Here is a 15,769-nt window from a genome sequence, read left to right as displayed (position 1 = left end):
TAACTGTATTTTACGGAACCATTCACCTCTATAGTGATAATTCAACTTAATACAGTTCCTGGGATTTGCATAATACAAACTTTCTTATTTAAATGTAGAAAAAAATGAAAATAGAAAATACAAACAAATTTAAAAAACAAAAAATGTTTTAAAGATACCTTTTATTTTGCTCTGAATCTAAATTTTCTCCAATTTAACAACATCCTCCAACCCACCCACCACTCTTCCCACCACCAAATCAAAATCACCGTATGATTTGTTAGAAAATGAATTTTCAGAAAAATCTAGGCACAAAATATAAGACCTTTTCAGATTTCTCCTCCTTTGATTTATTCGTAAATATTTGTTAAACATATATTATGCTGTTTGCATTGTATGAATGTATATTCTAGCTTTACATATCTAGCTAAATAAAGATCTTGCTATAAATAAGGGGTTGTCAGAAGCTTTATGGAAAATGTTTATTTTGCAAAATCTACGTATAGATTTCAAAAAAAATTTTGCACCAAATAAACTTGTACCAATTTGTTACAATATGACTGAACAGGATCTAATTAGAGGCACTAAGAATTACAAAACATGAGTTTGAAATGATTCCCTATCAAAGCAATATGAATTCTTCCAAAATTGAAGCAAGAACAAACATCAAATTTATGGTAAAGCTTGGGCGAAAGAATGGCAAAATCATTGTCACTTTATGAAAAGTTTATGGAAACAATGTCCCAAATAAATCAGTAATTTATAAATGAGTAACTCACTTTAAATTGTCAATGAGATGATGTTGAAATGAGCCCAAAGGAGCAGACCATCGACATCAGTTTGCAAGAAAAAAATTAATTTTGTTTATGCCTTAATTGAAGAGAACCACCAATTAATAGCAGAACCAACAGCCAACACAATAGATATTTCAATTCGTTTAGTTTACACGGCTTTTTTCTTGCTTTTCTTTTTTTTTCTTTGAGACGGAGTTTCGCTCTTGTCGCCCAGGCTGGAGTGCAACCTCAGCTCACTGCAACTTCTGCCTCCCCAGTTCAAGTGCTTCTCCTGCCTCAGACTCCCGAGTAGCTGGGATTACAGGCACCCACCACCACATCCACCCTGATAATTTTTTGTATTTTTAGTAGAGATGGGGTTTGGCCATGTTGGGCAGGCTGGTCTCGAACTCCTGACCTCAGGTAAGCCACCTGCCTAGGCCTCCCAAAGTGCTGGGATTACAGGCGTGAGCCACACAATTTTGACTGAAAAATTAAAGGTGAGTAAACTTTCCCCTTGATAGGTGCAAAAACTGTTGTGCACAAATCAGCTGCAGACAAGAACAGAGCTTTCAATGAAAATTTTAAACAAATAGAATCAAGATCCTGAAGTATTCTTCAAAGAATTGTAACAGGAGAGGAAACATGGCTTTATTAGTGTGTCCTGCTGTCAAAGCACAATCAAAATAATGGCTCCCAAGAAATAGAAGTGGTCCAGTCATAGCCAAAGTAGACCAGCCAAGAGCAAAGATCATGACAACAGTTTTTTGAGATGCTTGAGGCATTTTGTTTGTTGATTTGCTGGAGGGCCAAAGAATAATAACATCTGCTTATGATAAGAGTGTTATGAGAAAGCCAAAGCTTTAGCAGAAAAACACACAGGAAAGCTTCACCAAAGAGTGCTTCTCCACCAGGACAATGCTCCTGCTCATCCCTCTAATAAACAAAGACAATTTTATGAGAGTTTTAATGGGAAATCATTAAGTATCCATGTTACAGTCCTAATCTGGATCCTTCTGACTTCTTTTTGTTTTCTGATCCTAAAACAAAAAATTTTAAGGTACCTATTTTTCTTCAGCTAATATGGAAAAAACACTGCATTGACATGGTTAAATTCCAAGGACCATCGGTTTTTTATAGGTGGACTAAATGGCAGGTATCATCACTTACAAAAGTGTCCTGAACTTGAGGAAGCTTATGTTGACAAAGCTTGTATTTTTAATTTTTATCTTTAATTCAATTTTTCTCTGAAATTTTTATCTAAGTCCTCTTGCATATGTCATACACATATATCTATAAGACTTAATCAGAACTCTAATTTTATGGAATCTAGGTCCTTAAAATCTGTTGCTTAAGGAACATCTAATCTTCATTGAAGTGCCCTTTTGTTCCTGGATTCCTGTTCTTTGTTAACAGTGTCAGTCACAACTATTTACACTTGATATAATTTAATGACAGTTTGCCATGAGAATGGCCAGGCTGTCTTTCTGTCTCCCAGACACAACAAAGAGGGAAACAGACAAGTTTGTTAGATCCTGGCCAGGCATCATTCAATGTATTACTGTGTGATCACCCTTTTAAAGTAATTGTGTGGTTTGAAGTTTCTTTTAGAAATTCCCCTTTGAGTGGCAAAAGGCTTTTCTATCAAAATACCAAGAAGGAGCAGGACCTCAGAGCCATCCCAAGTGGAGTCACTATCTTCCAAATCTCGGAAGTATTCTGACGACAGAGGCATAATGGAAAAGTTCCTGAAAAGTGATGGAGAAAAACCGGGAGAAAGCTGACTTCTCAAGCATTTGCAAAACTGATTAAATAAGGCTTTTTTTTTCTTTCTGATTCAGGGGCTGACACCTTTAACTAACGATAAGGGCATCTTGAATACAGCTCTGACAAATGACACTTAAGATCCCTGTTATTCCTGTAATTGGCATTCTATGATTTCTTCAACCTGTTTTCTTTAGTACGATTTTTAAAAAATGTAACCACCAGAGGGCGTAGGATATTACATTTCAAAGGGCTTAAATTTGTGTTTCAGCCACTAACTCCATCTCCCTAAGCACGCTTGAAAGGGGGAACCCTCTGCTATGCAATGGAGAGGGTTCTTCTTGCCCAGCCCTTCCATGCCAAACACAAGTCCTTCACCAAATCCGCTACCTCTTTAAAGATTCCATCAGCAACATCATGTCTGCTGTTTGCCAAAGAGGTTTTCTTACCAAATAGACTGAACTTTTTTTTTTTTTTTTTTTTACCTTCTACTTTCATTAAATTAAGCTATCCCTTATTCCTTGATTTGGGTCACCTAAAGTTCAAGGCAATAGTGAATTACTTCAGAGCTCTTTGGTTTGTATGCTTACACCAACAAGACATTCCTCTACCTAAAACTCAGGGAAAGCATTTGTAAAGCCATTTTGCCAGGTGCTCACTAACCACATTTCCCTGTTGCTTTATGAACATTCTCACCCAGCTCCTGTGTGTGTGCACGTGTGTATACAGCTTTACATTGGCTCATCACTTCTCTGTTAACCCTTCAGACTTAGTGCCCCAGGTCAAACTTAACAGCCTACATTTTGACAGATTTGAAAATTCTTATTTGCGTCGCTACATCACTCAAAAGTGACTCTCAACTCTTAGTTTCATATAATCTCCTCCAGAGCGTTGAATGCCTGTGTCTAGCAGACCTATGCCTTACTGAATTCATGTACCCTTACTAGGCAATGGGCTCTTTAAAAAGCTCAAATATGGCATGCAAGGTGGTGCTGCTGGTCTATGTTACTTTAAAACCTTTAAGTAATAATGCTTTGGTAAAGTGTCATAGGCAACTGTTTTGGGGCAAAGAAGAGCTTGAGTGACTTGACAGGCTTCTTCCTGTCTTATTTTGAAGGTACTCCTCCTTTAAATCATATTTACTATGTTACATTATTATGACGTTATCCAGGTTACGGTGGACATCATCCCTGTGTCTGCTGTCGGCATCAAGACCCACTACTCCCATTCTCCCTTGTAAGGAATGATGGCTTCTGCCTCTAATACCTTCTACTTCTCAGCACATCAATGCTCTGGAGGAGGACGGTACATTGATGATCCATGGGTTGCTGCTCCATGACACCTTATGGAGCAGTTGTGTCCAAATTCAGGGTACATTAGAATCATTTAGAGTACTTTTAAATATGTAGACAGCTGAGCCTAATTCAGTAATCCTGGGGAAGAGTTAAGGGCTCTGTATTTTCAACAGGCATACAAAAATTGTTATGACGTACTGTGGGAGACACTTTCTACTATTGTTATAATATCTATACCTGGTAACAGAGGCTCAATTAATAGGTTAAGAGCAGGGAGACATCAAGAACTTAAGGAAAATAGGCCCTGTCACTCTACTTTCAGAGGATGAATCATGACTGGCCTAAACCAGGGTACCATTTAGGGTAAGGGTAGCTACTATAACAGATGGACCCCTAAAATCTCCTTGAATTAACAAAATAAAAATTTCACTTACTCTTCACACAGCAACAAAAGCGGGTACTTGTCAGGTAATGCTCATGAACATCTTATGGCTCTCCACCTTCTCCCCTGGCCTCAGCTTTCTTCCAGCTTCCATACACACACACACACACACACTCACACACAGTGAGATACAGAGAGAGAGGGAACAAGGAAAAAGGGGACACCCACTCATTCACTGCTTCAGCCTGGAGAACCCAATAACTACCATGCATATTCTATTGGCAGCACCTAGTCACATGGCTCTACCTAGATTCAAGAAAGGCTTGGAGAGGGAGGAGCCAAGATGGCCGAATAGGAACAGCTCTGGTCTACAGCTCCCAGCGTGAGCGACGCAGAAGACGGGTGATTTCTGCATTTCCATCTGAGGTACCGGGTTCATCTCACTAGGGAGTGCCAGACAGTGGGCGCAGGCCAGTGTGTGCGCGCACCGTGCGCGAGCCGAAGCAGGGCGAGGCATTGCCTCACTCGGGAAGCTCAAGGGGTCAGGGAGTTCCCTTTCCGAGTCAAAGAAAGGGGTGACGGACGCACCTGGAAAATCGGGTCACTCCCACCCGAATATTGCGCTTTTCAGACCGGCTTAAGAAACGGCGCACCACGAGACTATATCCCACACCTGGCTCAGAGGGTCCTACGCCCACGGAATCTCGCTGATTGCTAGCACAGCAGTCTGAGATCAAACTGCAAGGCGGCAACGAGGCTGGGGGAGGGGCGCCCGCCATTGCCCAGGCTTGCTTAGGTAAACAAAGCAGCAGGGAAGCTCGAACTGGGTGGAGCCCACCACAGCTCCAGGAGGCCTGCCTGCCTCTGTAGGCTCCACCTCTGGGGGCAGGGCACAGACAAACAAAAAGACAGCAGTAACCTCTGCAGACTTAAGTGTCCCTGTCTGACAGCTTTGAAGAGAGCAGTGGTTCTCCCAGCACGCAGCTGGAGATCTGAGAACGGGCAGACTGCCTCCTCAAGTGGGTCCCTGACCCCTGACCCCCGAGCAGCCTAACTGGGAGGCACCCCCCAGCAGGGGCACACTGACACCTCACACGGCAGGGTATTCCAACAGACCTGCAGCTGAGGGTCCTGTCTGTTAGAAGGAAAACTAACAACCAGAAAGGACATCTACACCGAAAACCCATCTGTACATCACCATCATCAAAGACCAAAAGTAGATAAAACCACAAAGATGGGGAAAAAACAGAACAGAAAAACTGGAAACTCTAAAACGCAGAGCGCCTCTCCTCCTCCAAAGGAACGCAGTTCCTCACCAGCAACAGAACAAAGCTGGATGGAGAATGATTTTGACGAGCTGAGAGAAGAAGGCTTCAGACGATCAAATTACTCTGAGCTACGGGAGGACATTCAAACCAAAGGCAAAGAAGTTGAAAACTTTGAAAAAAATTTAGAAGAATGTATAACTAGAATAACCAATACAGAGAAGTGCTTAAAGGAGCTGATGGAGCTGAAAACCAAGGCTCGAGAACTACGTGAAGAATGCAGAAGCCTCAGGAGCCGATGCGATCAACTGGAAGAAAGGGTATCAGCAATGGAAGATGAAATGAATGAAATGAAGCGAGAAGGGAAGTTTAGAGAAAAAAGAATAAAAAGAAATGAGCAAAGCCTCCAAGAAATATGGGACTATGTGAAAAGACCAAATCTACGTCTGATTGGTGTACCTGAAAGTGATGTGGAGAATGGAACCAAGTTGGAAAACACTCTGCAGGATATTATCCAGGAGAACTTCCCCAATCTAGCAAGGCAGGCCAACGTTCAGATTCAGGAAATACAGAGAACACCACAAAGATACTCCTCGAGAAGAGCAACTCCAAGACACATAATTGTCAGATTCACCAAAGTTGAAATGAAGGAAAAAATGTTAAGGGCAGCCAGAGAGAAAGGTCGGGTTACCCTCAAAGGAAAGCCCATCAGACTAACAGCGGATCTCTCGGCAGAAACCCTACAAGCCAGAAGAGAGTGGGGGCCAATATTCAACATTCTTAAAGAAAAGAATTTTCAACCCAGAATTTCATATCCAGCCAAACTAAGCTTCATAAGTGAAGGAGAAATAAAATACTTTATAGACAAGCAAATGCTGAGAGATTTTGTCACCACCAGGCCTGCCCTAAAAGAGCTCCTGAAGGAAGTGCTAAACATGGAAAGGAACAACCGGTACCAGCCGCTGCAAAATCATGCCAAAATGTAAAGACCATCAAGACTAGGAAGAAACTGCATCAACTAATGAGCAAAATCACCAGCTAACATCATAATGACAGGATCAAATTCACACATAACAATATTAACTTTAAATATAAATGGACTAAATTCTGCAATTAAAAGACACAGACTGGCAAGTTGGATAAAGAGTCAAGACCCATCAGTGTGCTGTATTCAGGAAACCCATCTCACGTGCAGAGACACACATAGGCTCAAAATAAAAGGATGGAGGAAGATCTACCAAGCCAATGGAAAACAAAAAAAGGCAGGGGTTGCAATCCTAGTCTCTGATAAAACAGACTTTAAACCAACAAAGATCAAAAGAGACAAAGAAGGCCATTACATAATGGTAAAGGGATCAATTCAACAAGAGGAGCTAACTATCCTAAATATTTATGCACCCAATACAGGAGCACCCAGATTCATAAAGCAAGTCCTGAGTGACCTACAAAGAGACTTAGACTCCCACACATTAATAATGGGAGACATTAACACCCCACTGTCAACATTAGACAGATCAACGAGACAGAAAGTCAACAAGGATACCCAGGAATTGAACTCAGCTCTGCACCAAGCAGACCTAATAGACATCTACAGAACTCTCCACCCCAAATCAACAGAATATACATTTTTTTCAGCACCACACCACACCTATTCCAAAATTGACCACATAGTTGGAAGTAAAGCTCTCCTCAGCAAATGTAAAAGAACAGAAATTATAACAAACTATCTCTCAGACCACAGTGCAATCAAACTAGAACTCAGGATTAAGAATCTCACTCAAAGCCGCTCAACTACATGGAAACTGAACAACCTGCTCCTGAATGACTACTGGGTACCTAACGAAATGAAGGCAGAAATAAAGATGTTCTTTGAAACCAACGAGAACAAAGACACCACATACCAGAATCTCTGGGACGCATTCAAAGCAGTGTGTAGAGGGAAATTTATAGCACTAAATGCCTACAAGAGAAAGCAGGAAAGATCCAAAATTGACACCCTAACATCACAATTAAAAGAACTAGAAAAGCAAGAGCAAACACATTCAAAAGCTAGCAGAAGGCAAGAAATAACTAAAATCAGAGCAGAACTGAAGGAAATAGAGACACAAAAAACCCTTCAAAAAATCAGTGAATCCAGGAGCTGGTTTTTTGAAAGGATCAACAAAATTGATAGACCGCTAGCAAGACTAATAAAGAAAAAAAGAGAGAAGAATCAAATAGACACAATAAAAAATGATAAAGGGGATATCACCACCGATCCCACAGAAATACAAACTACCATCAGAGAATACTACAAACACCTCTACGCAAATAAACTAGAAAATCTAGAAGAAATGGATACATTCCTCGACACATACACTCTCCCAAGACTAAACCAGGAAGAAGTTGAATCTCTGAATAGACCAATAACAGGCTCTGAAATTGTGGCAATAATCAATAGTTTACCAACCAAAAAGAGTCCAGGACCAGATGGATTCACAGCCGAATTCTACCAGAGGTACAAGGAGGAACTGGTACCATTCCTTCTGAAACTATTCCAATCAATAGAAAAAGAGGGAATCCTCCCTAACTCATTTTATGAGGCCAGCATCATTGTGATACCAAAGCCGGGCAGAGACACAACCAAAAAAGAGAATTTTAGACCAATATCCTTGATGAACATTGATGCAAAAATCCTCAATAAAATACTGGCAAACCGAATCCAGCAGCACATCAAAAAGCTTATCCACCATGATCAAGTGGGCTTCATCCCTGGGATGCAAGGCTGGTTCAATATACGCAAATCAATAAATGTAATCCAGCATATAAACAGAGCCAAAGACAAAAACCACATTATTATCTCAATAGATGCAGAAAAAGCCTTTGACAAAATTCAACAACCCTTCATGCTAAAAACTCTCAATAAATTAGGTATTGATGGGACGTATTTCAAAATAATAAGAGCTATCTATGACAAACCCACAGCCAATATCATACTGAATGGGCAAAAACTGGAAGCATTCCCTTTGAAAACTGGCACAAGATAGGGATGCCCTCTCTCACCGCTCCTATTCAACATAGTGTTGGAAGTTCTGGCCAGGGCAATCAGGCAGGAGAAGGAAATAAAGGGTATTCAATTAGGAAAAGAGGAAGTCAAATTGTCCCTGTTTGCAGATGACATGATTGTTTATCTAGAAAACCCCATCGTCTCAGCCCAAAATCTCCTTAAGCTGATAAGCAACTTCAGCAAAGTCTCAGGATACAAAATCAATGTACAAAAATCACAAGCATTCTTATACACCAACAACAGACAAACAGAGAGCCAAATCATGAGTGAACTCCCATTCACAATTGCTTCAAAGAGAATAAAATACCTAGGAATCCAACTTACAAGGGATGTGAAGGACCTCTTCAAGGAGAACTACAAACCACTGCTCAAGGAAATAAAAGAGGACACAAACAAATGGAAGAACATTCCATGCTCATGGGTAGGAAGAATCAATATCGTGAAAATGGCCATACTGCCCAAGGTAATTTACAGATTCAATGCCATCCCCATCAAGCTACCAATGACTTTCTTCACAGAATTGGAAAAAACTACTTTAAAGTTCATATAGAACCAAAAAAGAGCCCGCATCGCCAAGTCAATCCTAAGCCAAAAGAACAAAGCTGGAGGCATCACACTACCTGACTTCAAACTATACTACAAGGCTACAGTAACCAAAACAGCATGGTACTGGTACCAAAACAGAGATATAGATCAATGGAACAGAACAGAGCCCTCAGAAATAATGCCACATATCTACAACTATCTGATCTTTGACAAACCTGAGAAAAACAAGCAATGGGGAAAGGATTCCCTATTTAATAAATGGTGCTGGGAAAACTGGCTAGCCATATGTAGAAAGCTGAAACTGGATCCCTTCCTTACACCTTATACAAAAATCAATTCAAGATGGATTAAAGATTTAAATGTTAGACCTAAAACCATAAAAACCCTAGAAGAAAACCTAGGCATTACCATTCAGGACATAGGCGTGGGCAAGGACTTCATGTCCAAAACACCAAAAGCAATGGCAACAAAAGCCAAAATTGACAAATGGGATCTAATTAAACTAAAGAGCTTCTGCACAGCAAAAGAAACTACCATCAGAGTGAACAGGCAACCTACAACATGGGAGAAAATTTTCGCAACCTACTCATCTGACAAAGGGCTAATATCCAGAATCTACAATGAACTCAAACAAATTTACAAGAAAAAAACAAACAACCCCATCAAAAAGTGGGCGAAGGACATGAACAGACACTTCTCAAAAGAAGACATTTATGCAGCCAAAATACACATGAAGAAATGCTCATCATCACTGGCCATCAGAGAAATGCAAATCAAAACCACTATGAGATATCATCTCACACCAGTTAGAATGGCAATCATTAAAAAGTCAGGAAACAACAGGTGCTGGAGAGGATGTGGAGAAATAGGAACACTTTTACACTGTTGGTGGGACTGTAAACTAGTTCAACCATTGTGGAAGTCAGTGTGGCGATTCCTCAGGGATCTAGAACTAGAAATACCATTTGACCCAGCCATCCCATTACTGGGTATATACCCAAAGGACTATAAATCATGCTGCTATAAAGACACATGCACACGTATGTTTATTGCGGCACTATTCACAATAGCAAAGACTTGGAACCAACCCAAATGTCCAACAATGATAGACTGGATTAAGAAAATGTGGCACATATACACCATGGAATACTATGCAGCCATAAAAAATGATGAGTTCATGTCCTTTGTAGGGACATGGATGAAATTGGAAACCATCATTCTCAGTAAACTATCGCAAGAACAAAAAACCAAACACCGCATATTCTCACTCATAGGTGGGAATTGAACAATGAGATCACTTGGACACAGGAAGGGGAATATCACACTCTGGGGACTGTGGTGGGGTCGGGGGAGGGGGGAGGGATAGCATTGGGAGATATACCTAATGCTAGATGACACGTTAGTGGGTGCAGCGCACCAGCATGGCACATGTATACATATGTAACTAACCTGCACAATGTGCACATGTACCCTAAAACTTAGAGTATAATAAAAAAAAAAAAAATTAAAAAAAAAAAAAAAAAAAAGAAAGGCTTGGAAGTGTGCCTTCTTAGCAACCATTCTACACCATGAAAAAGAAACAGAAATCTTTGATAGGCAGGTGGTCACCCTGGCCATGACTAGTTGTGGTAATCTTGTTACCCTTTTCCAAAGATGTATTGATGGTAGCCATGTGACTAAATCCTGTCTAGTGCGACTTAAGAGGAAAGTTCCTAGGAATGTTTTTTGTTTTTCTCATAAAAGGGAAAGACTCCACTAACATGACTTTTAACCCCTTTTTACTTCCTCTTTTCTCCTCTCTGGAAGGAAGATGCAGTCATAGAGACATAACAATCATCTAGTAACCATGAGGGAAATGTAGAGAAGCCAACACACAAAACATAGTGTAGTTTAAAAAAATAAAGAAAAAAATTCTGTTCTTGATTGTGTCTCTCAGCTACTTAGTCTTGAATATTTATCCCTAGAACTTTCTATCCCTAGAATTAATCCTGACCATTACTTAAACATATAACTCCAATTTTTTAAAATATATTTAATGTATTAGTCCTAGAAGATGGTAGTCGACAGATCATAATTTGACAAATACTGATCCAAAGCATTTCAACCCACCCTGACATCCAACATGTGGTAGACACGACATGGGAAATGCTACCTAGCTGTTCTATGAAATACACACAGTGCAGGTCCATGTACAAAGCTTAAGTGGCCTAAAAGGACATCTTATCCCAGCTATAAACATCACTTCCTATTGACTTTCTTGACTAACTTGTGATGCTATCCTATATTCCAGTGTTCCACTCCAAAAATCTTGGATGGGGAAGCCAAACAGATTGTCTAGGAACTGCAAGAGCCATGGAAACATCATGAAGGACTTGGTTTGCTGGGGTGGGGAGGAATGGGGGATTGAGGCATAAAATATTAGCAATCATGGGAAAAAAATCTTCATCATAGCAAATATTTGCCAGTAATCCTGTCCATTCAGACAACTCTGACTGGGATGAGAGTCGTGAGATGAGAGAGGATGCGTACTGAGTGTGGATATGTGTTCCTGTTTTTCCAAGGTGGACCTGGCTCCGTATTTCTCTGCTTTGTGGATCACATCCACTTTTGCTGTCAAATCACATAGTTACCCCTTTGGATCCACGGGATATGCCTTATATGTGCAGGGAAGACTCCATCTATATTTACAGAAACTATGTTTAAAAATTCCAAATCACATGCTCTTCGGTTCAGAGAATTCTTTCAGTCCTCCACATGCTAGCTGCATGTAGTTCTAGATGCCCTAGGCCAGGGCTTCCCATGATATCCCAGAGTAACAAGCAAACGATTTTAGGTACATGGTACCCTGTACTCGGGAAAAACAAATGAGACTGAGCAAGTCTCATTGCAAGATCCATCCCAAGGGCTGAGCGAATCAACATCTCAGCATATTTGAACCCGCACTTGGGCATCCTATGTACCATACGCACTGGAAGGAAAGCTGTGCTGTAGGCTCACATCTTGTCTCCACGTCCCTCAATATTTCCAGTTAGTAATATTTCTCCTGAAGGCCTGATTCATAGTTAGAAATACCCTAAGTAGGGAACCATTACCAGAATAACAGACTTCAGACTACTCAGGCCACCACCTTGCCCTTTCCAGACATTATAACCCACGTAGGTCTCCAGCTCTGGCTGATGAAGGAGGTCCAACGAAGCCAATTTATGCAACGGTGCTGCAGGTGTTCCCCTTTCCTGCCAAAGTTAAAGAGTAGCAGTGCCTTTTGAAGATAAAGCTTCAAAGGAATAATTCACTCAAAGATGGTTTTTCAGTTGCCTTAGGCAAGGCTGAATTTGTCTCGCACCATTTACATAAAACTAAATAAAAATGTGTCTTCCTTCCTACTCATAGGGACTATTTTACAACTAAACTTTTCAAAAGGCCAGAAGCTCATCATTTGGCTCTAACGGGGCAAACTTTGTTACTCCTTGTCTATTTCAGCAATCCCTGCGCCTCAGTTTGATCCTCTGTTGATTTAAGGATTGGATTAAATGTTTCCAAAATTTGTGAGAGGAGGTAGAGTGTATTTGGGCTTGATTTCAGTTTTGCCATTTAGTCAGATGGTATGTAACCCTGGAAAGTCACTGAATTTCTTTAAGTGTCCATTTTCTCATCAGTAACAAAATGAAGATAATCCACATACTTATCCTATGGATATGTAAGAATCATAAATCAATTTGCTAAATTGGCTGAATGTAATAGGACACAATTGTTACAGGAAAGGGGTCCCAATCCAGATCCCAAGAGAGGGTCTTGGCTTTCGCTCAAGAAAGACGAATTCAGGGAGAATCCAGAGAGTAAAGTGAACGCAAGTTTATTAAGAAAGTAAAGGAATAAAAGAATGGCTACTCCATAGACACAGCAGACCCAAGGGCTGCTGGTTTCTTATTTTTATGGTTATTCCTTGATGACATGCTAAACAAGGGGTGGAGTATTCATGCCTCCCCTTTTTAGACCATATAGGGTAACTTCCTGATGTTGCCTTGGCATGTGTAAACTGTCACAGCACTGGTGGGAGTGTAGCAGTGAGGATGACCAGAGGTCACTCTCGTGACCATTTTGGTTTTGGTGGGTTTTAGCCAGGTTCTTAATTGCAACCTGTTTTATCAGCAAGGTCTTTATGAACTGTATCTTGTGCCGATCTCCTATCCCATCCATCATTTAGAATGCCTAAGCATCTGGGAATGCAGCCTAGTAGATTTCTGCCTCATTTTACCTAGCCCCTACTCAAGATGGAGTTGCTCTGGTTCAAACACTTCTGACACAATTGAAAAGGAGTCTCTAAAACTATACACCAGGGGCCAGGTGCGGTGGCTCATGCTTGTACTCCTAGCACTTTTGGAGATCAAGGCGGGTGGATTGCCTGAGCTCAGGAGTTCAAGACCAGCCTGGGGAACACGGTGAAGCCCCTGGCTCTACTAAAAATACAAAAAATTATTCGGGCAGGGCAGTGCGCACCTGTAATCCCAGCTATTCAGGAGACTGAGACAGGAGAATTGCTTGAGCCTGGGAGGCAGAGGCTGCAGTGAGCCAAAATCACACCATTGCACTCCAGCCTGCACAACAGAGTGAGACTCTGTCTCAAACAAACAAACAAACAAACAAAAACTATATGTAGGATCTTCCTTATGTCTCCCTTACATTTATCATTATGTTTAGCTCTAAGAACAATAACATATTTTAATTGTTAGAAATTCCTATCCAGTGGAAAAAAAATAAACAAATGAATAAATAGATATCACCCCCACCAACACACACATATATAGATACCAGTTCAGGCCCAGTTTGTGGTCTGTAGGTATTAGGGAGAACTGTAGCTCTTCCAGACATGTCTGACCCAGAGTAACTTTGTCTTTAGCTGTTTTACATTTAAACTCCTAGGAAAAATGTTACTTCGATAAATGTTGCTGTAGCTAATAACATTCGGAGTCTAGAGAATTAAGAAGCATCACTATATAACATATCACCTAAGCCAGGTACTTTTGAGGGTCCTGGGAAGTAGCAGAAAAATTACAAGACATCACTGTAATTCAGGACTGTCCCAGGTAAACTGGGAATTACACATCGTAGGTTGAAGTGGAGGTATCAGAATAACATTCAGCAGTGAATCTCAGAAACCCAAACTAACAGTGGCTTAAACAAAATAGAATAAAATTTTGTTTGTTTCTATGATTAATTTTTAACAATCCTTTTCTCAAATGATATTGTCCATGGCTGATAATATGAAGCCATGCAGATCCCATGTTCATTTCTGGTCCGAAATGATTGATTGTACCCCAGCCATAAAGGATGAAGATCTTGCCCTAAACCTTTGAAAAAATGTTGCACATAACACTTTGCTTACATTCCATTAGCCAGAACTAGTTACAATACCATATCTAACTATAAGAAAGTGATTCTCTGGCTATAAAAGTAAAAGAGACAATATTTGTAGAAACTAGTATTTTTTTTTTTTTTTTTTTACATTATAACATTTACTATTAGGTATGTGAATGGGCCAGATGTCTACTCAATATTACAGAAAAAATGGCAAAACCCTGTCTCTACTAAAAATACAAAAAAAAAAATTAGCCAGGTGTGGTGGTGCGTGGTCTGTAATCCCAGCTACTTGGGAGGCTGAGGCAAGAGAATTGCTTGAACCCAGGAGGCAGAGGCTGCAGTGAGCCGATATCACGCCACTGTACTCCAGCCTGGGCAACAGAGTGACTCCATCTCAAAAAAAAAAAAAAAAAAAAGGCAGGTAAGAAAGTGTAATTTGGTCCTTTTAATTATTTTACAATGTTCACTCTAACATTTGTTGCTACTCTCAGATGTTCAGTAGATGATAACTATTATTGAAATATAGTTCTTTTTGTTCAAAAAACTTAAAATACTTGTAGTGAAAGAAATTAACAATGCATAACAAAGAAGCATACACACGCAGACCACAGACACACACACACACACACACACACACCGTGCACGGAGTGTGCGATGTATCCTAGGTATTCCAGGGATGAGATAACATATTGTGTCCTGAAAAGGAAAGTGTCTGCTAGTCCTTGGACTTTATTTTGGACCTACAGAGAGAATGCTTCGGTTACAAGAAGAATAAGGAGGCAGATAATAAAAACGGGAGCAATAACTGAGTAGAAGTACAATAGCAAAGGGAGCCCAGTGGGAGAAAATAATGAACTTAGAGCATAGAGTACTTGTTAAGAAGTGGAGGTGAGGCCGGGCACAGTGGCTCATGCCCATAATCCTAGCACTTTGGGAGACCAGCCTGGGCAACACGGTGAAAACCCATCTCTACTAAAATACAAAAAATTAGCCGGGTGTGGCAGCGTGGGCCTGTCGTCCCAGCTACTCGGGAGGCGGAGGCAGGAGAATTGCTTGAACCCGGGAGGTGGAGAGGTGGAGGTTGCAGTGAGCCAAGATTGTGCCACTGCACTCCAGCCTGGGTAACAGAGTGAGACTCCGTCTCCAAAAAAAAAAAAAAAAAAAAAAAGAAAGAAATAAGAAGTGGAGGTGGAAGTAAAAGGAATGTAAAAGGAATGCATGGATAGAGCAGACTTTGATTCTCCCACAAGTACCTGTTGGCAGAGCTTTTGCATATATCTACATAAATTATGCAACCATTTGTGTGCATTCTGGTCACCAAAATAAAGAAAATAACTTATCAAACATTTAAATATATGAGA

Source organism: Homo sapiens, chromosome 17, assembly GCF_000001405.40.
Source record: "Homo sapiens chromosome 17, GRCh38.p14 Primary Assembly".
Classification (NCBI taxonomy): domain Eukaryota; kingdom Metazoa; phylum Chordata; class Mammalia; order Primates; family Hominidae; genus Homo; species Homo sapiens.
Note: the sequence above shows the minus strand (reverse complement) of the source record.